Below are 25,246 nucleotides of genomic sequence, written 5' to 3' on the forward strand. Positions count from 1 at the left end.
CGTATAGTATATGCTACTTTGGTAGATGATGCCAAACTTCTCCAAAGTGGTGGTATCCATGTGTAATCCTACCAGCAAAAATTTCTCATCATCCCACATCATTTGCCACTTGTGTGATAATATTAGTCTTTTTCACTTTAGACATGCTGATAGCTGTGCAGTTGTATGCCATCATAGTGACTTCTGTGGTGTCTTTTCAGTGTGAATTGGATATTTTGAATATCTTTTTCTTGTGACATACTAGTTTGAGTCTCTTGCCCACTATTGGGCTGCCTTTTTCTTACCGATACGTAAAGAAGAGGGCTGTGCAGAAGAGGGCTCCCCAGAGGACTTTGGGGGACTCCAGTAATCTTTGGCTGAGAAATGGGCTGCACATATAAAGGGCAAAACTACTGGAGGCTTAACAGAGAGAGTGGTATGGGTTGAAAGCAGAACAAAGATAGAAGACGTCAAGATTGTCTTGGAGTTCTGGCCCAGCCAGAATGGTAACACCTCATTCACACTTGTTAACCAGAATAGCCAAACTGTAGAATCAAGGACCATGCCCTAGGTAGAGGAAGCCTTACTCTAGTGTAGACCCATTATAAACAAAGACAAAAATCTGAAGAGGAGAGAGTTTGGAGATCTATCCTTATAAAGTACAAAATGAGGCCTACACATGCTCAAGGTGATCAACTAGTAATTGAACTGCCTACTAGAACAAAAGCCAGCCATCTTAGAAAAGATAAAAGAATCTAGAATCTCTTTATTGTGTCATCCACAACATACAGTGTACAATTTTTTTTTTTTTTTTTGATGGAGTCTCGCTCTGTCGCCCAGGCTGGAGTGCAGTGGCGCGATCTCAGCTCACTGCAAGCTCTGACTCCCGGGTTCACGCCATTCTTCTGCCTCAGCCTCCCGAGTAGCTGGGACTGCAGGTGCCTCCCACACCCGGCTAATTTTTTTGTATTTTTAGTAGAGACGGGGTTTCACCATGTTAGCCAGGATGGTCTCAATCTCCTGACCTCGTGATCCGCCCACCTAAGCCTCCCAAAGTGCTGGGATTACAGGCGTGAGCCACCATGCCTGGCCCAGTATACAATTTAAAAAAAAGTGCATTAAACATGTAAAGAAACAGGAAAGTATGACCCCTATTTGGCTGGGTGTGGTGGTCTCAAATATAGATACATAAAATTAAAAAAATTAAAAAAGCAATCATTAGAAACCAACTCTTAGATACTCTAGATGTTGGATTTAGCAGACTGAGGCTATAATGCAGAAAAGAGAAAGATAAATCTTTGCTTGCTCCAAGTTCATAAATATGTTATCTTGTACAACTGTGTCATCCTGTATAGTAGCTACTAGCCACATTCAAAATAAACTTCAAACTTAATTGATATTTAAACCAATTGAAATGAAATAAAAGTAAAAAATCACTTCCTTAGTTGCAGTAGCACTTTTCAAGTGCGGGATAGCCACATGAGACTAGCAGCTACCATGTTGCACGGTGTAGATAGAGAGCATTTCTATCATCAAAGAAAGTTCTGTTGGACAGTGCTGTTCTGGAGCTCTGTTCTTTTACCTGTCACATTTACCTAGAATTTAAACCTAGAATTGATTTTATATTTATTATAGGCGTTAAGTTTCTTTTTTCCCCATAGATATTTGTTAACCTAATATCAGTGTTTGAAAAGATCATTTTTTTTCTTCACTGCCCTCTATTCATCTTTGTTGTAAGCAAGTCTCCTTATATACACTGGTGTATTTCTAGACTTTATTCCTTTAGTCTGTTTGTCTGTCCCTGCACCAATACCAAATTGTGTTATTTATACTAGTGTTATAAATAAGTACTAGTTTTGATATTTAGTAAATTTCTCCCTTTATTAGGATTTCTGTTAGAGTTTTTATATTTACAGATCATTTTCAAAATTAACTCCTTTATAATATTTGAGTTTTCTGAACCATGATCATTATATTTCTCCTCATTTACTTAGGTCCCAATGTCTCTGAATGATGCTTTATAATTTTCAGCAAAGATACCTTCTATGTGTTTGTTAGCTTTATTCTCAGGTATTTGATACTTTTTGAAGCTGAGCAGCTTTTAAAATTTTTATTTTATTTTTCTTATTTTTAAAATTGATATGTAATTGCTGTACATATTTGGGGGGGATATATAATATTTTGATACCTGTGCACAGTGTATAATGATCAAATTGGTAAGAGTGCTATCCACCTCAAACATTTATTTTTTCTTTGTGTTGGGAACTTACAACTCTTCTCTTCTAGCTATTTTGAAATACACAATAAGCTGTTGTTAACTGTAATTTCCCTACTGTACTATCAAGTACTAGAACTCACTCTTTCTATCTAACTGTATTTTTGTACCCCTTAACCAACTTCTCTTCATCCTCCCACCCTTCTTCATCAGCAGCTGGTAACTATCATTCTACATTCTGCTTCCCTGAAATCCACCTTTTTAGTTCCCACATATGAATGAGAACGTGCAATGTTTGTCTTTCTATACCTGGCTTATTTCACTTAACATGATTTCACTTAACATCCATGTTGCTGCAAATAACAGGATTTCATTCTTTTTTGTGACTGAATAATATTCCATTGTGTATATATCTGATATTTTCTTGATGCATTCATCTGTTGATGACACTTAGGTTGTTTCCAAACCTTGGCTATTGTGCTGCAATAAACATGGGAGTGCAGATTTCTTTTTCATATACTGATTTTATATACTGATTTTTATATACTGATTTCCTTTCTATTGGGTATATACCCAGAAATGGGATTGCTACATCATATGGTAGTTCTATTTTTCGTTTTCTACGGAACCTCTGTACCGTTTTCCATAATGGCTGTACTTCTTTAATTTCCACCAGCAGTGTCCAAGCACTCCCCCTTCTCTGTATCCTTGTCAGCATTTGTTACTTTTTGTCTTTTTGGTGATAGCTATCCTAACTGGGGTGAGATGCTATTCATTGTAGTTTTGTTGTACATTTCCCTGATTATTAGTGATGCTGAACATTTCTTTTTGTATATTTGTTGGCCATTATATGTCTTCTTTTGAGAAATGTCTATTCAGGTCTTTTGCTTATTTTTTAATTGGATTGGTTTTTTTTTGCTGTTGAGTTGCTTGGGTTCCTTATAGATAGATAGTGGTTCTTAATCCCTTGTTGGATGTATAGTTTGTGAATATTTCTCCCATTCTGTAAGTTGTCTCTTCCCTCTGTTGTTTCCTTTGCTGTTCAGAAGCCATTTAGCTTTATGTAATCCCATTTGTCTGATTTTGCTTTTGTTGCCTGTGTTTTTGAGGCTGTACTCAAAAAATCTGTGTCCAGACCAGTGTCCTGTAGTGTTCCCCCAATGTTTTCTTTTAGTAGTTTCATAGTTTCAAGTCTTACATTGAACCCTTTTCCCTTTTAGAAAAAAAAAAAGTGCAGCTCGCTGCCAGCACTCATTTAATTTTATATAAACATGCTCTTTGATGCTGAAGCAAATCTGACTGACTTTCAATATGAAAATATAAAAACTGTTCTTGGAGTTATTTCTAAATAGAACTAACATCAGAATCATCTGAATCATCAGAATCGTCTATTTCAGAAAAATCGGATCCGTCAAATAAATCTCTAGCCAACGACTGTTTGAGAACGATGTTAATATCACACGTAGGAATGCTCCTTTTTCTAGGATTTGACATTTTCAGCAGTTGAGAATTACTATATTTTGTAAATGGAAATACCACTACTAAAAACAGAATGCTATAAGTAGAACGATGTCTTTTGTCGCCAAAGTTGATATACTAAGAGTGATGTGAAAATAGTCATAAAAGCAAGATAGTTAATGGCAAAGATATCTTGGGGTAAATGCTGCAGCTGCAAAAGCACCTCTGGCGAGTATTCTCAGGGCAAACAGGAAAAGGATTAAATCTTTAATCCATTTTGAGTTGATTTTTTTTTTTTTTGAGACAGCATCTTGATCTGTTGCCCAGGCTGGAGTGCAGTGGCAGAAGCATGGCTCACTGGAGCCTCAACTTCTTGGGTTTAAATGATCCTCCCACCTCAGCCACCCAAGTAGCTAGGGCTACAGGTGCACACCACCACGCCCAGCTAATTTTTTCAAGTTTTGTAGAGATGAAGTCTCTATGTTTCCCAGGCTGGTCTGGAACTCCTGAGCTCAAACAATCCTTACACTTTGGCCTCCCAAAGTGTGGGCCATGTCGGGCCATCTTTGTGTTTTAATTGGAGTATTTAGTGCATTTATATTTAATACAATTACTGACAAGTTTGGGTTTAGACCTGCCATCTTACTATTGGTCTTTATTTTGTTCAGCCCTGTCTATTCTTTTTGTCATCTTTCCTACCTTCTGGATTAAGTATTTTTTATTACTTTAATTTCCCCCCACTCTATTAGCTTGGCAGTTATAGACTCTTTTACTGTTTAATGATTACCCTAAAAAGTACAGAATGCACACTTGACTTATCAAATTAGAATTTTACCTTTTCTAGGATAATCTAAGGTTTTTAGAACCCTTTAACTTCATTTAACCCTCTCCCATCTTTCAGGCTATTACTGTCATATATTTTAACTGCACAAGACATTATTGTTTACACAGTTAATATTCATTGACTCGAATTTATCTTCATGTTTACTCATTTTGTTCTTTATTTCTTTATCTTCAGTCTTCAAATCTGTAGTCATTTTTCTTCTATCTAAAGAGCACCCATTAGTGTTTTTGTTTGTTTATTGTACAGGTCTGTGGGTGACAAATTCTTTAGTTTGGTGTTTGCATTTTATTTTGTTGTTGTTTTGGTCTAAAAATGTCTTCATTTTATCTTCATTTTTAGAGTTTTTCTGTTGCTGGGCATAGAATTATTGGTTGACAGTCATTTTCTTTTGGTTCTTTGAAAAAAAAGATCCATTTTCTTCTGGCTTCCATTGTTTTAATTGAGAAGTTAGCTCTCAAATTTAAAAGCTGGCTGCTTTTAAGATTTTCTGTATATCATTGGTTTCAGCAGTTTTGCTTTGATATGATATAACTAGGTGGCATTTTTTTTCTAAATTTATTCTACTTGAGGTTTACACAACTTATTGAATGTCGTCTTGTTAGCTTGATGTCTCTCATTAATTTCTGAAAATTTCTAGTCAGTGTCTCTTCAAAACTTGTGCTCTGTTTTCTCTAATTTCTTTTGGGTATTCTAACTATATACATTATACCTTTATACTGTATTCTCTGTGTCTCTTTTGCCTTTCTTTTCTTCTCCCACCCACTTTTTTTTGTTATGACATATTCTTTTTCCTTTCTATGCTTCAGACTAGATATTTTAGCTATCTTTTCTTCCAACTCACTATTTCAGTTTTCAACTGTGTCAAATATGCTATTAAATTCATCTGTGAGTTACTTTACATTTTATAAAATTTATCTTTGATTCTTTTTTTTTTTTTTTTTTGAGATGGAGTCTTGCCCTGTCACCCAGGCTAGAGTGCAGCGGCGTGATCAGCTCACTGCAACCTCTGCCTTCTGGGTTCAAGCAGTCCTCCTGCCTCAGCCTCCCCAGTAGCTGGGACTACAGGCGCGTACAACCATACCCAGCTCATTTTTGTATTTTTAGTAGAGACGGGGTTTTGCCATGTTAGCCAGGCTGGTCTCAAACTCCTGACCTCAGGTGATTCGCCTGCTTTGGCTTCCCAAAGTGCTGGGATTAACGGCATGAGCCACCACACCTGGCCTGTCTTTGGTTCTTTTTTATAGTTGACAGATTTCAGTAGAAATGCTTGATATCTTATTTTTTTCTCTATTAAAAATAGTTATTTCAAATTTGTATCTCATAATTCCATTATCTTGGTCCCTTGTAGGTCTATTTATATGTTTGATATTTGGTAATTTTAAAAAATCTCTTTATGCATTCAGTTATTTTTGATTGAGTGCTAGACATAGTACATGAAAAACTGTGGAGATAATTTAAGTATCAAGATGATATTGTTTTCCTTCAGAGAGAATTTATATTTTTTCTGGCAGAAGTCTGAGAATCACCTTAATCTAGTTTCAGAGCTTGAGATCACTTAAAGCTGGGCTTTAGTCCCTCAGGAGGCTGTTCCATTTCTAGTTCCTCCTGCTCTTAGGTACAGCCCTTCAGAGTGCCCAGTTAAAACCCGGGGTTTTTACAAAGGCACCCCACAGCAGGCCCTAAACTCATATTTTTTCTTCTAGGTCAGTGAGGCTGTCAATAACTTCTCAGTCCCTTAGCCACCTTGTCTGAAATTAGCAGACAACCCTAAAGGAAAATTGTCTCCAAATACCGTGCTTATCTCTTCAGATTATCTTCCCATCCTAGATCATGGTTTCAGAATTCTGGATTATTTTCTTGGCTCTCTGATGGCTTCAGATAAAATTTTCCCCAGATTTTCTAGTTCTCAACCAGAATACTAACCTAAATTACCTAGTGTACGTGTCTTAGTCTGTTCAGACTTCCACAACAAAATACTTTAGACTGGGTAATTTATAAATCATAGAAATTTATTTCTCACAGTTCTGGAGGCTAGAAAGTCCAAGATCAAGGTTCCAACTCATTTATATCTGGCGAGGGCTCACTCTCTGCTGCCAAGATGGCCCCTTCTTGCTGCATTCTCATGTGGCAAAGGGGCAAGGCAGCTCCCTTCAACCTCTTTTATAAGGGCACTCATCCCTTAATTACTTCCTAAAGGCCCCCACCTCTTAATATGATCACTTTAGGGATTAAGTTCCAACATGTGAATTTGTGGGGGACACCAACATTCAGACCATAGCAGCACCTTTACTATAATAAGAAAGGCTTCCTTTAGTTTTCTCACCTGTTTTTCTGGATGGCAGGTATTCCAAGTATGCTCAGTTCTGTTAAGGAAAAGTGTAGCACCCATTTAAATGATACTGATTTTGACTGGGTATGGTGGCTCACGCCTGTTATCCCAGCACTTTGGGAGGGTGAGGCAGGTGGATCACTTGAGCTCAGGAATTCGAGACTAGCCTGGGCAACATGGCAAAATCCTGTCTCCACCAAAAATACAAAAAATTAGCTGGGCGCGGTAGCACACGCCTGTAATCCCAGCTACTTGGGAGTCTGAGATGAGAGGATCACTTGAGCCCAGGAGGCGGAGGCTGCAGTGAGCCAAGATTGCACCACTATACTCCGGCCTGGGTGACAGAGTAAGGCCCCATGTCACTCACACAAAAAATGATATTGATTTGGCAGATCTGTGCTTCATGTTGTAAACCCTAAGAAGTCCTTCCAAGTATCTTTCTTGGTACAAACTCTGAGAGAGATAGAGACCCTGAATCATATCAGTTATTAAATAAAGTAGAATTTAAAATTACATGAAAGCAATTTTTTAAATTTTTAAATTAAGTATTGGGTAGAATTGTATTAACTAGGGCAAATGTCATGAACAAAGCAAGTAGAAAAGTACTAAATGTTCTGAAAGTACCAGCATCAGTACAGCCAGATATGCAGTGGTCCTTAACCTAGAGCATGACCCCACTCACCTAGAGGATAGAAGGAAGTGTTTGTGGGAGCCTAGTGGGCGTTGGATTATAGATACCAGATGTGCTGCAATGAGAGGAGTGGTCCTACAGAACAGAGAATTCTCTTGCCTCAAATGCCAATAGTGTGAAAAACTATAGAGCGATAATTTAAGCTTCAGGATGTTATCCTTCTCCTGAGAGCCTTCATGTTTGCTTCTGGCAGCAAACACCAATAGAGCAAAAGACTCATATAAAGTTACTGTATCGCTTAGAATAGGCTATGCTCCTGGGAGAAGTAGACCTCCAAAATTCTGAGACTTAAGAAAAATTTATTTGTCATTCACATTGCAATCTGGGACAGCGTGTGTAATCTAGGACAGTTGTCCAGTTTGGACAGCTCTTTTCCTCACACTGATTTAAGAGACCGAGGCTGCTTCCACTTGTATTCTCTTCTGTCCCCTAGGACCTTGTCATTATATGCATGGGTGCAGCTGGGCAGCTACGTCCAGATTGCAGCTGGCAGGAAGGGAGAGAAAGCATGGAGGAGGCATACACCTTCTTCCAAGTTCTAACCTGGAGGTGGCACACTTCACTTATGCTCACTTCCATTAATGAGAACTGACACATGGTCACCTGTTCCAGCTAGGAACTGGGACATGTCATCTAGCTAAGTACCCAGGTAGAAGAAGAAATCGTTTGGTGGACAGCTGGCAATCCCTGTCACAAGTGTAATGAAAAATATGACTCAAAGGCTGGGCGCGGTGGCTCACGCCTGTAATCCCAGCACTTTGGGAGGCCGAGGCGGGCGGATCACGAGGTCAGGAGATCAAGACCATCCTGGCTAACACGGTGAAACCCAGTCTCTACTAAAAAAATACAAAAAATTAGCCGGGCGTGGTGGCGGGCGCCTGTAGTCCCAGCTACTCAGGAGGCTGAGGCAGGAGAATGGTGTAAACCCGGGAGGCGGAGCTTACAGTGAGCCGAGATCGTGCCACTGCACTCCAGCCTGGGCGACAGAGCAAGACTCTGTCTCAAAACAAAAAAAAAAAAGAAAGAAAAAGAAAAATATGACTCGAAAAACAACAAAAGGTAGAAGCTAGTTTGCACAATGCTCAAGTGCCAGGTCAAGTTTGGACTTTGTCCTGTAACCACAAGGAAAACCAGTAACTATTTCCGAGCAGGGACACGGAATGCTTAGGATAATTATTCTGGCAACAGTGAGCAAAATAGATTGCGAAGACCATTTAAGAAGCTCTGACAGGGGTCAAGAAGTAAGAAGATAATAAAAGCAAGCATGGTGGTCATGGGAAGGAGAAAGAGGAACCAGTATTATTAGAGACATGAAATTTCATTCATAACAACTAACATGCATTGAGCACTTTACATTTATTAACTTATTTAACCCTCAGAAAAACTTTATTATCCCCATTCCACTAATGCAGGAACTGAGACCTAGAGTATGAGTTGGGACAGAAGCCAAGTCATAATAAGAGTTAAAGATACAGGAGTGATGAGGAATGTAGGCAGCATTCGTAGATTGCTGTGAAAAAATGTGGCCACACAAGCAGGAAAGAGACAAGATAGATGGAGACGCCTCATCAGTTAGTAATAATAAGAACAGCTAATGTTTATTGAGCACTTCCTATGTCTTGGCCACTGATCTGGGTACTGTATACAAATTATCTCATTTAATCCATTTTACAGGTAAAAAGGCATAATTTGCTCAGAGTCACACAGTTAGTAAATGACAGGGCTGGAAATGTTTTCTCAAGAGGGGAACAAGCTATACTTTTGAAACCCAGCTCAACTTCTTTTTCTCTGTCTACTCTCTTGCTCAGCCCCACATTTCTCCCTGCCTTCCACCTCCTGATACATTTTTAGTTGTTGCCCCATGTTTTAGCATCTCATTATTACCTAGCAGTTTCCTATGTTGGTTATATTTAAACTTTTTCAGGCTGTGACTATCTTCCATCCTTTTCTTATTTTAAGAGTTCCTAGTCCAATATTAGGCATGTAGTACATACTTGAAAATATTTGTTTGATGACGTTGATTATTTTGTTTTCAATATTCCAATAAACAGTTAATCAAGGACATATTTTAGATGTTTGTATACATTAGTTACACATGAATTCTTTTATTTCATCCATTTAGCTACTAACATATTGATTATAGAGGACTTTTTTTCATTCCTTTTATATTGCAGTATGATTGTCTTGTATTAAATGTGTCTGCTTCTTTCTTAACAGGTAGATGCTGGCTGGATTGGATTTTGGTCCATAGTTGGAGGCTGTGTTGTTGGAATAGCTATGGCAAGGTGAGAATATTTTGTTAAACTTGTGAGTGGACAGAGCAGGGGGAAAAAGCCTAAAGATAAATAGGCTCCCCTAAATAAACATTACAATTCAGGGAAAAGTAAAACAAGCAAAGGTCAGAAAGGGGTACTTGTTCAGAGTACAAGAAAATTCATATGCGTTATATAGAATTGCTGCTAACAGGCCGGGAATGGTGGCTCACGCCTATAATCCTGGCACTTTGGGAGGCTGAGGCAGGCGGATTACCTGAGGTCAGGAGTTCAAGACCAGCCTGGCCAACACGGCAAAACCCTGTCTCTACTAAAAACACAAAATTACCTGGGTGTGGTGATGAGCGCCTGTAGTCCCAGCTACCAGGGAGGCTGAGGCAGGAGAATTGCTTGAACCCCGGGAGGCAGAGGTTGCAGTGAGCCATGATTACGCCACTGCTCTCCAGCCTGGGCAATAGAGTGAGACTCCATCTCAAAAAAAAAAAAAAAAAGAATTTGCTGCTATAAGAAAGTTTCTCTGGAGTATCCCTTCCTCAAGTGTTTTTTTCTGGAGACTGGAAATGTATTTCCAGTGTAGTTAAGGTGCCTCTTTCCATATTATTGGAGAACAACATCTACAAATGGAGACCAAAAAAGGTAATATAATAATAAAGACAAATTAATAGCTGTGGAGACTAAAAGGGTTGAGAAGAAATCATTTGTAAAAGTGTCAATAGAACTTTCCATGAACAGGCAGTGTCCTGATTAGCAGACATTATTTATTTATGGTCTTTTTTGGCTGGTATTTTCCTATGGTTATCCCTTTTTGATGCAAAATGTCTGTGAAGACTTTCAGTTTCATCACACTCTCTTTGATCATAACCTATTACAACAACACATTGTTAGAATGAGTCAGAAGTAGGAAAAAGGTCCCATTCGTTCTAAAAAAAAAAAAAAAAAAAAAGGAAAAGAATTAAAATGTTACTCTCTTAGGCAACTGCCTATAAAACTATTCTTGGTATTTCCAAAGAGATAATATTCATTCACTTCCCAAATCATTTTACTCTGCTCAAAAACAAAATTAGGCAATCAACTTTACCATGAAGAGGAGAATCTAATTATATATTTGGGAAGATCAAATATAAGATCCACATATCACCTCAATATCTAAATACTTGAATATAATTGATACAGGATAATGTTATACCTAGACTTTATGGTTCACATAGTGTTTCAGGGATATTGAAAGAATAAATTGACACTGTAATTTCTAAATCACTTTATTTGAAGTGTTAGGAAAATATAAGAAAACTAAAAGCTAAAGAAGCAGAAGGGGAATATAGTATTTGTAGGAAATCACTGATACTAAAAATACATTGACCTGTCTTATTTTGACAAGAATCATACCTCATTTTTCTAGTTAAATCTCCAAGCCAATTATAGTGAGTCATTGATCACATCCTATTCTGAGCACCAAATTGGTCAAAGGGGGAACAATTATGTATCAAAAATGATGTCTCAAATGCTCCTTTGTCATTATTTTCCTTCTATACCCCTTAATTTTAACTAGATATAGATATAATTAAAGGGAAAATTTAGAATGAGGACTTTTCTGCTTTTAATTTGTTGAAATGGAAGTTCTAAAAAAATACTACCCTTACTCTGGGATCTGAAGTCAATTTCAGTTATCTCCTAGCCCTAAAATCAATTTTAAAATTACTTTCCTGACACCATTTTTTGGGATTCCCTAGGACAGTGCTACCTTGTAGACATACATGAGTGCTTTGGGTGATATTTTTGTAATTAAAGACCACTATTAAAGATACTTCTTCGTCCTAATAATACACTTCAATGGTATCAGCCTATTCGAAAGGACTGGATCTCCAAAAATAGCAGACTACAGTTGTCGGTTTATTCTTGTATGATCAGTTTCTGTGAAACTTTCTTGCAATTCAACTCTGATTTGTACTAAAAGCCTGTTTTATTCTCTTATACCTTGTCATCTCTGTATCTGACAAATAAGTTTATGCAGCATACCAAAATGTAAATCTGAAAACTGTTAGGTAAGCGTGGGATTAAAACAGTCTTTTGGATTTTCTTGAGGAATATTTTGTAAAGCTGTGGAAACTTTTTCAGCATACCTAAGAATTTTCTGCTTGAGGACAAATTTAAGTCACTGGGCAAAAGTGCATTCATTTTTCCCACCAAAAGATGGCATCAGCTCTCATAGGAAGTCATTTTATTCTAGAAAACACAAACATGATTAACCATATCATGTCAAATAAGTACAAAACAGAAGATAGTATTCAAAGTTTTAAGAAGGACAGTCACATAATTACAATAGAAATGTAAATCAACTTTAGAAAATTAAAAGTGAAGAGAATATAGTAAATGTTGTATTTGAGATGGGATCAGCTATTCTATAAGAGGAACAGTTCTGAAGGACAGAATAAATTGTGCAGCCAGAGGATTGTGCCCGTACAATCAACAGTTAATCCACAGGTGAGGAAAAGCAGCTGGCAAGTGGAAAATTTTTTTGGCATAGCTAATGATAAGCGTCTCTACCAGATGCCCTTTAGTTTCATGAAAACTCAAACATGAAAACTTAAAATGCTATAAAAGTCCCAAGTTTAGAAGAATAATATTCACTATTCCAGATGCCGTGTATGTTTTGTTCTCAAGAAGTTTACAATCTGGTAGGGAAGACAAAAATAAATGCAAAAACAAGAGTTTCCAATAGAGAAAGTGCTATGAAGAAATAAAATAGAAAGTGGAGGTGGGATGGGGAAAGACTTCTTCACTGAGCCCAGAGGGCCTTGTTGAACTGAGACCTGAATGACCTGAGGGGTAAACAGGAGTAAGACGTGAAGATCCGGGTGGTACCAGCATTCCAGGCAGACGGAACAAGTACGGAAGCTACATATTGCTGTGGTAAGCAACCATGGCATGTATGAGAAACAGAAACATGGCCATCCAACTGGAGAACAGTAGAAGAAGAGAGAGCAGGGCCAGGCAGCAGGTCACATAGGACCTCAGAGGCTCTGGTGTAGGCATCTGTGTTTGTTCTCTAAGTGAGTTTGAATTTTGAGAGAGATCTTTGCAAGTTCATGTCAACAAGTTAGCCTGATTTTCAAAACTAAGATAATACATGTTCATTATAGAATGTTTGGAAAGTATAGAAAAATATGAAGAAAATGACAGTGACACTTAAAAACTCAGAATCAACTGGGCATGGTGGCTCATGCCTGTAATACCAGCACTTGGAGAGGCTGAGGTGGGAGGATCCTTGAGCCCAGGAGTTCAAGACCAGTCTGGGCAACATAGAGAAACCCTGTACACACACAAAAAAATAATAATTAGCCCAGCTACTCAGCAGGTTGAGGTGGAAGGATTGCTTGAGCCTGGGAGGTGAGGCTGCAGTGAGCCGTGATCACATCACTACACTCCAGCCAGGCAATGGTGAGATCCTGTCTCTAAAAAAAAGTAAACACTCAGAATATATCCTATAAATTATAGATCCTGAACAAAGATGCCGTTTTTTGTGTTTTATAAGAGAAAAAAAATTATCACAAAGTAACATCATACAAGAAAATTTGTTTTAAAAAAACACTGAAAACTGTCTTTTAAAAGAATATATGGAAAATTCCTCAAGTAGTTGTTAGTGAAAGTGTGTCATTTGCTTAAATAGTATTTTTAAATCCCACTAGAATTAATAGAGCATTTTTGTTTTTAGGTTTGCAGATTTTATCAGGGGTATGCTGAAACTAATTCTTCTCCTCCTGTTTTCGGGAGCTACACTGTCATCCACGTGGTTCACCCTGACCTGTTTGAACAGCATCACACACCTACCTTTAACCACAGGTGAGCATAGGCTATTTTTGAACTTTTAATAAATATTTTCATTCACAGAAGTGTACATAACTCTGACAGTAGGACTTCTTCTTGCTTTCTGTAAGTAATTGTTAAATATACAAAAAAGTTTCTCTTGTCCAGTCATCAAACCATCATCTTATCTAAAGAGTCCAAAAAATAACTAAAAATATTTTAATTGGTATTTTTCACATGGAAAAGAAGTATAATCTTTAGCCTTAACACATAGAGCATGGAAATGCTTATATTTGTTTAAAATTTCTATCAGAGCATAATACAAAGATTTTTATCTTGGTTATAGTCATTATATCACTGTTAAATAATAATAATAATTAACAAGGCAAAAAACTATGGTATACTTCAGTAAAGTTATTTGAACCAGCCCCTATAGGTTTATTTTACATTTAGTGTTATTCCATCATTAATACAAAGCAAAACTTACTGGAAATACCTGTTGAAAGTATATTACAGCCAGCTTACTTAGCTTATCTAATGGACCTGAAACATTTTTAGTTGCTGTTGTTTTTCTTGTCATTATTAATATCATCAATTCAGAGTCTATTTTCTATTGCTGCTGTAAAAGTTATGCAAATTTAGCAACTTAAAACAACAGAAATTTATTATCTTACATTTCTGTAGAGTAGAAGTTCAATACAGGTCTCACTGGGCTAAAATCAAAATGTGAACAGACTCTAGGGAAGAATCTTTTTCCTTGCCTTTTCCAACTTCTAGAGGTCACCCACATTCCTTGTTTATGGCTCTGTCCTCTGCCTTCAGAGCCAGCAACCTTGGGTCAAGTCCTTTTCACGTTGCATTATCTGTGCCTTTCTTCCATCGTTACATCTGCTTCTGAACCCTTCCCTTCTGCCTTCTTCTTTCTTCCTCTTCCACTTTTAAGGATGCTTATGATTACATTGGACCCACCAAGATAATTTGGAAAAGTCTGTCAATTTTAAGGCCAGCTGATTAGCAACCTTAGTCCCATTTCAACCTTAATCCCCTTTGTCTTGTGAAATAACATATTCACAAATTCCAGAGATTGTCATGAATATCTTTAGGGGAGGGAGGGCATTACTCTGCCTACCATGGGATCTTTTTAAAATTACTATGACAGATTATTATTGGCTTATAAACCAGAGACTCTGTTATTACTCCTTCCTTTCTTCCAGCAAAATATTAAGATGCATATTTTATATTATTTGCAAGTAATATTCAGCCACCTTTTGCATTATATATTTAATTATAGGATTATTTGGTAGATTGTAAGATTGTAACAGTCATTTATAACAAGCATTTGTGTGAGTAGAAATAAATAAGAGTCTGAAAGTGACTCCATGGGGACCTATTGCCCAGTGGCATGTATGTTCCATGGGAATCTTTGAGAAGGCAGGTGTTTTTGGTCTACATTATATGTAAGGAATATCCCACTTTGGATCTCTATACTCTGTAATAAAAGAACCAGCAGTTTACACATCAGAGGCATCAAATCTTTCAAGGACAGCCATTTATTTGGGATTTCCTACCACTTTTACAGTGATAATAGGGCAAGGGGATAAGATTGCCCTATACTCAAAATTAGCAACCTCTGCACCAAGCCAGCCACCCTGGAGTGCCTCAGTAAGCTCACAAGGGCAGCACAGGGATCTGCAACATCTGTCAGATACTGGTTGAACCTCTAGTTCAGAGAAGTTCCCAGTTTCAGCATTAGATTCTGCTGCATTCTTTTCGATGACATCGTATCTTTGCAAAGTAATTTTTTTGGTGGTTGCTGTGATAAAAAGGAAGTACCACACAAGTACCACACAAAAATTAGTGTGGAACACAAAATGAGGGTGGGGGTGTCCAGTCTGATTCCAAAACTTTTAAAAGTCTTGCAGTGCGCATCAGTGCACACATCTCATCAATAAGTAATTGTGGTTCTTTAAGGATGAAATAAAAATATATTTCTTTCAGCTTATGAGTATTATTTTTTTAATGGCTACTAAATTGTTAGGATATATCATACATGTTATTAAATAGTTTGAACCAAAGATGTGATTAATGGGATTGTTAGCTGTTTCTCTTGGCCTTGGAACACTGAAAAAATTACTGAGACGCTAGGAGTGCTAAGAACAAAGAAGGCCTGGAAATCCCTGTTCTACACCATCCTGCCAACAGTCCCTCTTCTCTGTACACATGCTTTGCCTGGAAAACCCAGTTGTCCAAAGTAATAATTAGATACAGAGTAAAATACTGTGCACTGTTGTACACAACTGGCATCCTACATTGGAGTTTTGAACAATTTTGGCAAGTATTCTGAGCCAGAGCCAGAATTTTTTTAAAATTTTATTCTGGTATAACTTCATAATTTAGCAGTTGTACAACATTCTGGTGGAACAGTCTTAGTTTACAACTCTTCTTATTCATGGCATTACATTCAGATTTTTTGTGTGTGATACTGTATGTCAAGTTAGCATCTGTGGGATTTTACAAGAACATAGTCATGAGTACATAAAGAACAGATTTCTTTCCCTTGAATTAAGTGTAGAATTTTTATTATAAGATAGTACATTCCATTAAATTTTATGTATTTTCAATTTAATGTGATAACAGCTTTATCTCTGGGTAGAATATTAAGAATGAATTTAATTTTTTAATCTCTTTTTTTTGGTCTGGATTTGTATGAGCATGTTTTAATTTTATAATCGGAAAAATGCATTTGAAAATTATTCATCTTTTAAATCTTAAAATTGATGTGATTGACCCTAGTCAAGACCATATTTTACCAGTCTGGTATTGAAAACAATTATGTTGGACAGAAAGGAAAGCAGAATTCTAATTAAGGCCAGAATTGAAAGATAGAATTGATGTGGCCACCTTAACAACCACAGAATTTATAAGTTCTACTGTTGTTTTCAATTGCAAGTAAGTTTTTGAATGTCACTTAGATACTCTTGAAAGATGTATTTTTACCTTACAAGCACACTGGGTTACGGACTAGATTTGTCCACATTCCTTCTCTGAATTATAGCAGGTTTTTGTCTCTCTCCCCTAATACTACTTAATAGTTACTTAGGTATATATGTCTTATCTTCCCTACCAGTCTGAAAATCTGGAGCATGGTTTTGTGCCAACTCCCACTGTGGAACCTAGCACAGGCCCTGAAGAAGGAGTGAATGAATGAATGAAGTATATGTTATCTCCATTTGAGCCACAGTAAATGTTACTTGTTGCCAGTGGTAGTCAGCAATTGTGGTCACTCTTATTCAGCACTTGCTGTAGGAAGGTAGAAGGGCATGTTTTAAATGGAACACGAGAATTTGAATAAATATGTCACAGATACCCTTACAAGCCTTGTAAAAATCTGACCTAATTCCTTTTAAGTAAAAGAGGTTTCATGAAAGGAAACTTACTACAAAATCTAATTATAGACAAATCTATACCTTTAGGCTGGTATTTAAAGTCTGTAATGGTAAATTCATGTTTCTTTTTTACTGGTCATTCCTATTTTAATCAGGAAAATATCTAGTCTTTTTCCTCTTTCCTAGCAAACTTAGAATTTCTTTTACTGCTTTTTATATATCAGAAGAATCTACCTGAAACGTATTTGTAAATATATGTATTAAACTGTTTAATAAATGGAAAGCTAGTTAATTTTGTTCAACCCATGTGTTATAAGTGCTACTGCTGTCTCATTAAAACTTTGTCTTTTTTTTTTGAGACAGTCTCACTCTGTCACCCAGACTGGAGTGCAGTGGTGCAATTTCAGCTCACTGCAACTTCCATTTCCCAGGTTCAAGTGATTCTCATGCCTCAGCCTCCCAAGTAGCTGGGATTACAGGAGTGAGTCACCACGCCCAACCTCATTAAAACTAAAATTTTCTATGGCAATCTTTCTGTAGTTCACTGGTTGTGATATTATTGTTACCATCTCTACAGAATAAAAACTGGGTCATTCCAGTCTATCCCAGAGCATACTGTTTTGATACATTTACTTGCTTACATATATCCTCTTGGATGCTTTTCCTTAGGGAAACTCAGAATATTTAAAATTGCATTATGTCTTTATTTAAATTGAAGTACTTAGAATAGGGCGAATAAATAACCTCATGACCAGATAACACGAGTTTCAAAATCTTGAAGTTTATGCAATAAACAAAATTTTGAAAATACATTATTCACCTTATCTGAGAACTAGATGTCTAGCAGCCCTGTTAGCCACAACTCACCAAGTCATTTTGTACTGAACAGATGAATGCTTTGAAAATGGCATTTTGAAAAATGTTAGCACTTTGTTGAGTTTACTGAAACAGTATAATTTGACTGTTTGACAGAAGTTGCCTTGGGAGAGATTATTTATCTAATTTCATCTAAACTTACTAGAATGCTATGACAGTGATATCAGAAACATGCTGGATGGGGGAGTAAGGAAGGACAACTAGCTAGACAGAAGCCCCCAGGGAGTGATAGCTGACCACAAGGTGACTTCAAGTGTTATTTAAAGAAAGGAAACATACCCAGTTGTATTGAAAGGCATGCAACAGCTGGGTCAGTGGGTTATGCCTGTAATACCAGCACTTTGGGAGGCCAAGGCAATAGGATCACTTGAGGCCAGGAGTTTGAGATCAGCCTGAGCAACATAGTGGGGCCATGTCCCTACAAAAAATAAAAAAATTACCAGATATCATGGCATGTTTCTGTAATCCCAGCTATTCAGGGGGCTGAGGTGGGAGGATCACTGGAGCCTGGAAGTTCGAGGCTGTAGTGAGCCATGACCACTGCACTCCAACGTGGATGACAGAGTGAGATCCTGTCTCTTAAAAAAAGAAAAATAAAAGGGCATTCAACATGTATAGGCTAGAGAGTAATCCTCTTACTATATTTTCATGTCTTTTGCCTCTGTTCTTAACTACTGTTTTCAATTTTATGGACTAAAAGTGACAAAGTCTCATGCTCATGACAGACAGCTCAAGGAAGAAAAAGTAGAATATGGATTAAAAGAAGAGAATGGATTTGTGAAAAATCTTAATGTAAGAATCATTAAATGCTGAGGCAGATCATATAATGTTTATCCATGGAGATTTTCAAGAAGAGAAATAAGTCTTGCAGCAGATTCTGTGTTTCTTACAGTTAGAGGGCTTGACTAGGTATCAGTGAGCGTTCCATGATTTAATAGTACCTTACAGCAAAATATGCCTCATCCTCTTTTGGAACCACAGTTGCATATACTGCGTATTTTAATCAGAAGTAGGTTATGAAGGCCACAGCAGTCACTTTTTTTTTAGGAAGAAATGTGATGCTGAGAGAAGAGGTACAGCTCAGTGATATAGAAATGTATATATCTGTGTGTGTACACACATACATGTGTATTCTATGTATTCAGCACACTCAAAACCTATGAAAAAACTATATAGTTAGCAAACACTGTGAATGTTTCTTCTGGCTGCTTGTTGTTTCTCTTTATATGTGCCTTCATTTGCAAAAGGTGTATTTTCACTTGTTCAAGTTTAATTGGATTGTGAAATATTTGTAATAAAGGTGTAATCTAATAATTCCCAGTTAACTTTCCTAACTTTATCATGAAATAAAAGTTCAGTCAGTATGCACAATAATAAAAGTTTGTCCAGTAAAGTGTGTTAATGTTATAAGCCTACACTTCAGGGACATTTCTTGATTCTACTCCTTAAGATATAATTCTTGATTCTACTCCTTAAGATAATTATTATCTACTCCTTAAGATAATAAAAATCTGTTGTGTTATTTTATAATGCTACTTATTTCTTCATAAAACTGTAAACAAATCTATTATTCTTTTCCACCAAGAAGCACCTACAAGTTTTTTGTTTATTTGTTTTTCTTCTGAAACAGTCTCACTCTGTTGTCCAAGCTGGAGTACACTGGTGCGACCTTGGCTCACAGCACCCTCAACCTCCCAGGCTAAAGCTATCCTCCCACCTCAGACTCCCAAGTTACTGACTATGGCGTGTGCCACCATGCCCAGCTAACTTTCGTTGTTTTTTTTTTTTTTTTTTGTAGAGATGGGGTTTCGCCACGTTGTCCAGGCTGGTCTCGAACTCCTGAGCTTAAGCGATTCGCCCACCTTGGCCTCCCAAAATGTTGGGATTGCAGATGTGAGCCCCATGCCTGGCAAGATTTTTGTTTTTAATATCCTGGTTAAGTTCTCCTCCCTACATGTATTTAAATTTGTTATTCATCTACTTAAATGAACTTTAGGCATCATCTAATATAATTTATCATTGAGTAAGTGAATCTCTTCTATCACATACCAGGTATATGTTCACCTGTCTACAACTTAAATATCTCCCACAAGAGAAGACATCACCTGTTTTGTTGTTAGCTCTGGGGCCTAGAATGTTCATCCTCCCAGTGAGTTATAACTGACTTGGAGCAACATAGCTTGCAGAGAACAAGTCAACTCCCTTTCTCTTCCACTGACAGCCCTCAAAACATTTGAAGACAGCTGTCATGTCTGACCTTAGCTTTTAATCTAACCATCCCCCCCTGCCCCCGACCCCATTCTTAGGACCATTCCTCATCGGATGTGGATTCCACACCACTGACCTGCCAGATGACTCTCTTCTAAACCTATCATAGATTGCTAGGGTCCTCCTTAAAACATTTTACTAGAATTTAGCACACTTTTCCTGCTGCATTCAGCACCAAGGCTGTTGCTTCTCATGGTTAGACATGCTTTTTTTTTTGGAGAGAGAAATATAATTATCATCTTAACACTGTGCATATAAATGGTTGCTGGGGCAGCAGGTGTCCATCATATTCCTTAGAGTATAAGAGTGATCTGAGGATAGAGTGTGTTTTATTTACTGCTCTAACATAGCAGCCTCCACGTAATAGGTATCTGATAAGTCGTTTTGAAGAAAGGCTTAAGCTAAGTTTTCCCTCTTATATACTTAAACAATTTGGGGCCAGTTTTATATTTAATGTGATTAAAATTCATCTTTTTGTTTGTAACCTTTTGATGTTCTTTGTTTTTGGTTCTGTCATATAATGTGCAGTCACTTCCAGCTTTTGTGCTGAATACAGATTTGGGAAATAGGCCTTTCATGTCAATACCATTGGATTAAAAAATACCAGGCCTTGTTACTTTTTTTCTTTTTTCACTGTGACACAGTGAATTGGCAGAAAACATGCTAGAGTCTGTAAGCCTTAATCATATTATTAGCACTGATAATTTACACTATTTCTAAATAAGCTGTTTTTTTACTTTCAGAACTTTGGTCACTTCAACTGTAAAATACCTGCCTCAAAGAGCTGATAGGATGATCAAATAAGATAATATATGTGAAAGCAGTTTTTAAAATATTTTTAGAAATTATATAAATCCAAGATTATAAAGTTGTAATTGTTATTGCTGTCTTGAGAATCTCGTTAGATGTTGATAGAATAGTTCTTATTCTTATCTGTGATTTGTTTTATAACCACTGATCCCCAAAGTTTTTAGTGTAACTTTAGTTAATAAAAATGTATTCAGGCTAGGCACGGTGGCTCACGCCTGTAATCCCAGCACTTTGGGAGGCCAAGACAGGCGGATCACGAGGTCAGGAGATCGAGACCATCCTGGCTAACACGGTGAAACCCTGTCTCTAGTAAGAATACAAAAAATTAGCCGGGCATGGTGGTGGGCGCCTGTAGTCCCAGCACTTTGGGAGGCCAAGACAGGCGGATCACGAGGTCAGGAGATCGAGACCATCCTGGCTAACACGGTGAAACCCTGTCTCTAGTAAGAATACAAAAAATTAGCCGGGCATGGTGGTGGGCGCCTGTAGTCCCAGCTACTTGGGAGGCTGAGGCAGGAGAATGGCGTGAACCCAGGAGGCAGAGCTTTCAGTGAGCCGAGATCACGCCACTGCACTCCAGCCTGGGCAACAGAGCGAGACTCCGTCTCCAAAAAAAAAAAAAAAGTATTCACACATAGTTTTGTTTCCCTAAAGTTTAGTAATTTGGTTTTTTACGGGCACAAGGGTGGGGAGGAGTATTTTCAGGGTTATGATCCAAGTCATGTGCTTGAAATACATTCATTTTTAACTGTAGTTTGTGCTACACAGGACTTTGTTTTTTACCATTTAAAGTGTGGGCCCATGAAATTTTATTAGCTTTTTATTAGAAAAAAAACTGCATCAGCACTTCAGTTGTGTTTGTTCTGCTGAATTACCTTGAATTTTTAATTGAAAGGCAGTTGATTGTAATTTTAGTATCAGTATTATACAAAGTTATGGAAATACTTAATGATCATGTAGTTTGAACCCTCTATGACAAGCAGGAAATTATCTTGTCTGCCTGACTTTTAATAGATGACATTCACCCACTGAATGTATGAGAACTGAAAACTCAAATGGAAGTCAAATTCAGACTTGGAATAATCAGCCTCTGCTTTATGCATGCCCCAGAACACTGGAATATATTAAATCAGTCCTGACACAGCTACCTTCCCCCATTCTGATGATGAAGATCTCAATCTAACCCCTTCCTGGGTAAATTATTGTGATTCTTTACTTTCTGCATTTCCACATGTCCAAGTGATTTCCACATGTCTATCCATTGTAATAGAAACCTCTTGGTCATCACTTTTATGGTAATACAAGAAGCAAACACCAAGACTGAGACAATTGAATGAAAATCTCTAATTTTTGATTACTGGCCTCTGAAGTTATATCATCCGTTTATCCTACATATAGTAGCCCATTTGTCCTCCATATAATAGGCATTCTAACAAATGGGAAAATCTTCATGTCAAGGATCCTGCGCCAAGGCTGTGTTATGTGGCTCCTGGGTATAGACATCAGCTCTTTGGGTCAGCTCACCTGGTGATAACCATTTCTGAGCTAATGAGCTCACAAACTCACATGAAGTGGAGTTGTGTCCGCTGTCCATTCATTTGTTCATAATGAAATTTCTTTTAATTTTATTAAATAAGTAAGCTATACACATAGTAAAAAATTCAAATTCAAGTAGTAGAAAAAGAGTATAGAGTGAAAAGTCTCTACTCTCCTGTGACCCCCCCCAGTTTTCCTCTCTAAAGGCAAATCTGATTGCCAGTTTCTTCTGTATTCTCCCAGGGAATTCTGTATATTTACAGATAGATAACGTGTATGTGCCGTTTATTTTAATATAACATACTTTTCAGCACCTTTTTCACTTATGTATCTTAGTTATTAATATTATTATAATACATACAGAGGTGCCTCATTTTTAATTGTATAATATTTCTTTGGATGTTTTATAAATTTTTAACCAACCAACACCGCCCCCATTGGGGGATACTTAGTTTGTTTTGAATCTTTTCACACTGTATTTTTTTGGATAAGTGTTCTTTGTATACCTATACCTGCATAGCAGTAGGATAAATTCCTAGGCATGGAATTGCTAGGTCAAAGAGTAATTACATTATTTATTTTGATAGACATTTCCAAATTACTCACCAGAAGATGAGCTATTTACAGTTTCATCAGCAATGTTTAACCACAATAAAAATTTTATCTTTCCAACGACAGTTAATTATCCCTCATCTTCCAAGTTCCTCCCAGGATTTAGATACATAAAAAGCCAAAATCCAAAGATTCTTAATAAGCATGAAATGAGGGCCAAGGGAGTTGTATGGTCTTGAGGTCTTAGGGTTTTCAGACAGCCCGCTGCTTCCCCGTCAGATGTATCAGAAGAGACTGGACTCTTCTGACACATCCCATGCCTCTTTCTTTGTACCATGCTTGATTTAAAAAATCATTAAAGTCAAATCTCTCTTTTCAAGACTCTATATTGATAGTTCCCTTTCAGTGTGTTATTATATTTTCATTATTTTATCACATAGAATTATTCTATTAACCAGATTGTGATTATTTTTCAATTATTACATTTTAATTTGTCTGATTACAAATTGTGTGGAGTACATTTCCTTCAGAAATAAAAATGTAGAAAGTATTATTTCAAAACATGTTTCCTAAAAACAGCTAATTCCATTGGAATTTGGGAATCTTTACTCAGAAGTAGTACTTGCTGGTCCTTAAGAGCTTGATTTCTTTCCTGTTACTTACTTCAGTATTTTCTTGTTTTAAACTCTTAGGCTCATCAAGGTTTTGGTCAATGGTTCTCTGTCCTCTGACTACCACTGACTGATCAATAAATTTTTATTTAAAAAAAAACTTTATTATTATTATCATTATTATTATTATTTGGAGAAACAGGGTCTCACCATGTTACCCAGGCTGGTCTCGAACTCCTGGGCTCAAGCAGCCCTGCCTCAGCCTCCCAAAGGGATTACAGGCATGAGCCATCATGCCAGCTTGATCGATAGATTATTCTAGGTCAGGTGCGGTGGCTCACACTTGTAATCCCAGCACTTTGGGGGGCTGAGGCAGGTGGATCACTTGAGGTCAGGAGTTCGAGACCAGCCTGGCCAACATGGTGAAACCCTGTCTCTACTAAAAATACAAAAAAAATTTAGCTTGGCATGGTGGCACGAACCTGTAATCCCACATGCTCAGGAGGCTGAGGCAGGAGAATCACTTGAACCGGGGAGGTGGAAGTTGGCAGTGAGCCGAGATCACACCACTGCACTTTAGCCTGGGCAACAGAGCAAGACTCCATCTCAACAATAATAATAATAATAATAATAATAATTAATTAATAATTCTAAAGTGTTTTAGAAATACAATACTCTATAGAAGCCACCAGTGATATTCCATCCCCAGATTTCCTAATGTACCACTAATGAGTCATATGTAAGTAGAAAATGTGATTGATTTATTTGATCTACATCTAGCAAATATATTGTGAACATGAAGTATTAGGTTACGTTTTAAGAATCTCTTGAAAATTATGTCACATTTTAAATGGTATTTATCATAGCTATCAGATGCTTCCCAAGTAATTGTGCAAATAATTTGGTCACTGCCTTAGCCAGCAGTATGTTCTTTATTCACTAAGTGATTCTTTTGTTATCTATTTCCATATCTATCTTCTATTCAAAGAAACAAAGTAATTACCAACTATTTGTATTATCAGAATATACTAAATATTTTATAATCCCCGAAGACTAATGTAATTGGAGGGGAAGCAAGAGTGGAGGTTAATTAGAGAAATTATATTAGAAATCAGTGTGTACTATTATTTTTTTTTTACCCCTTCAACAGTGTCATGGACTGTTAATGATTGCATCAGTTATGGTAAACTCTGATAATCTGATATGTTCTGTGAGTGTGTGAATAATACATAACAGATTTAATGTAACTTCCTTACTTTCTGCAGTTCCCATACAGGATTGTTTTTTTCCTTAACAAATATTTTTATTAAAAATATTTTCCTTGTAACCTTAAACTTAGGATAAATTCTACTCATTATTATCGGTGAATATGATATACTTATTAGGATATAGGGACATGTTTTAGGTTTCTAAATAGGGTATCATTCTTTCCTTTTGGGTTCTGTTTTCACCTTCAAGTTAAAATTAACAAGGGTTTATAGACAGACAGTAGTAGCAATGATTAAAATTAATTGTAGTATATTTCCCCAGACTTTCTTATAAGAATAATATCCTTATTCAATAGACTTTGCCACAGAATAGTGTTAACAGACTTTTTATGGTTTGATTGGGGAT

At 37.0% G+C, this 25,246-nt stretch overlaps 1 protein-coding gene across 1 annotated transcript in view; it reads left to right on the plus strand.

Annotated features, from left to right (window-relative positions):
• SLC49A4 (solute carrier family 49 member 4) overlaps positions 1-25,246 on the plus strand; it is an 86,071-nt gene that overhangs the window by 51,505 nt on the left and 9,320 nt on the right. Inside the window, exons 6-7 of the mRNA NM_032839.3 lie at positions 9,734-9,801; positions 13,502-13,629. Coding sequence (NP_116228.1) covers positions 9,734-9,801; positions 13,502-13,629 — 196 coding nt within the window. The remainder of the gene's footprint in view (positions 1-9,733; positions 9,802-13,501; positions 13,630-25,246) is intronic.

The sequence above is a fragment of the Homo sapiens genome, chromosome 3 (genome assembly GCF_000001405.40).
Source record: "Homo sapiens chromosome 3, GRCh38.p14 Primary Assembly".
NCBI lineage: Eukaryota > Metazoa > Chordata > Mammalia > Primates > Hominidae > Homo > Homo sapiens.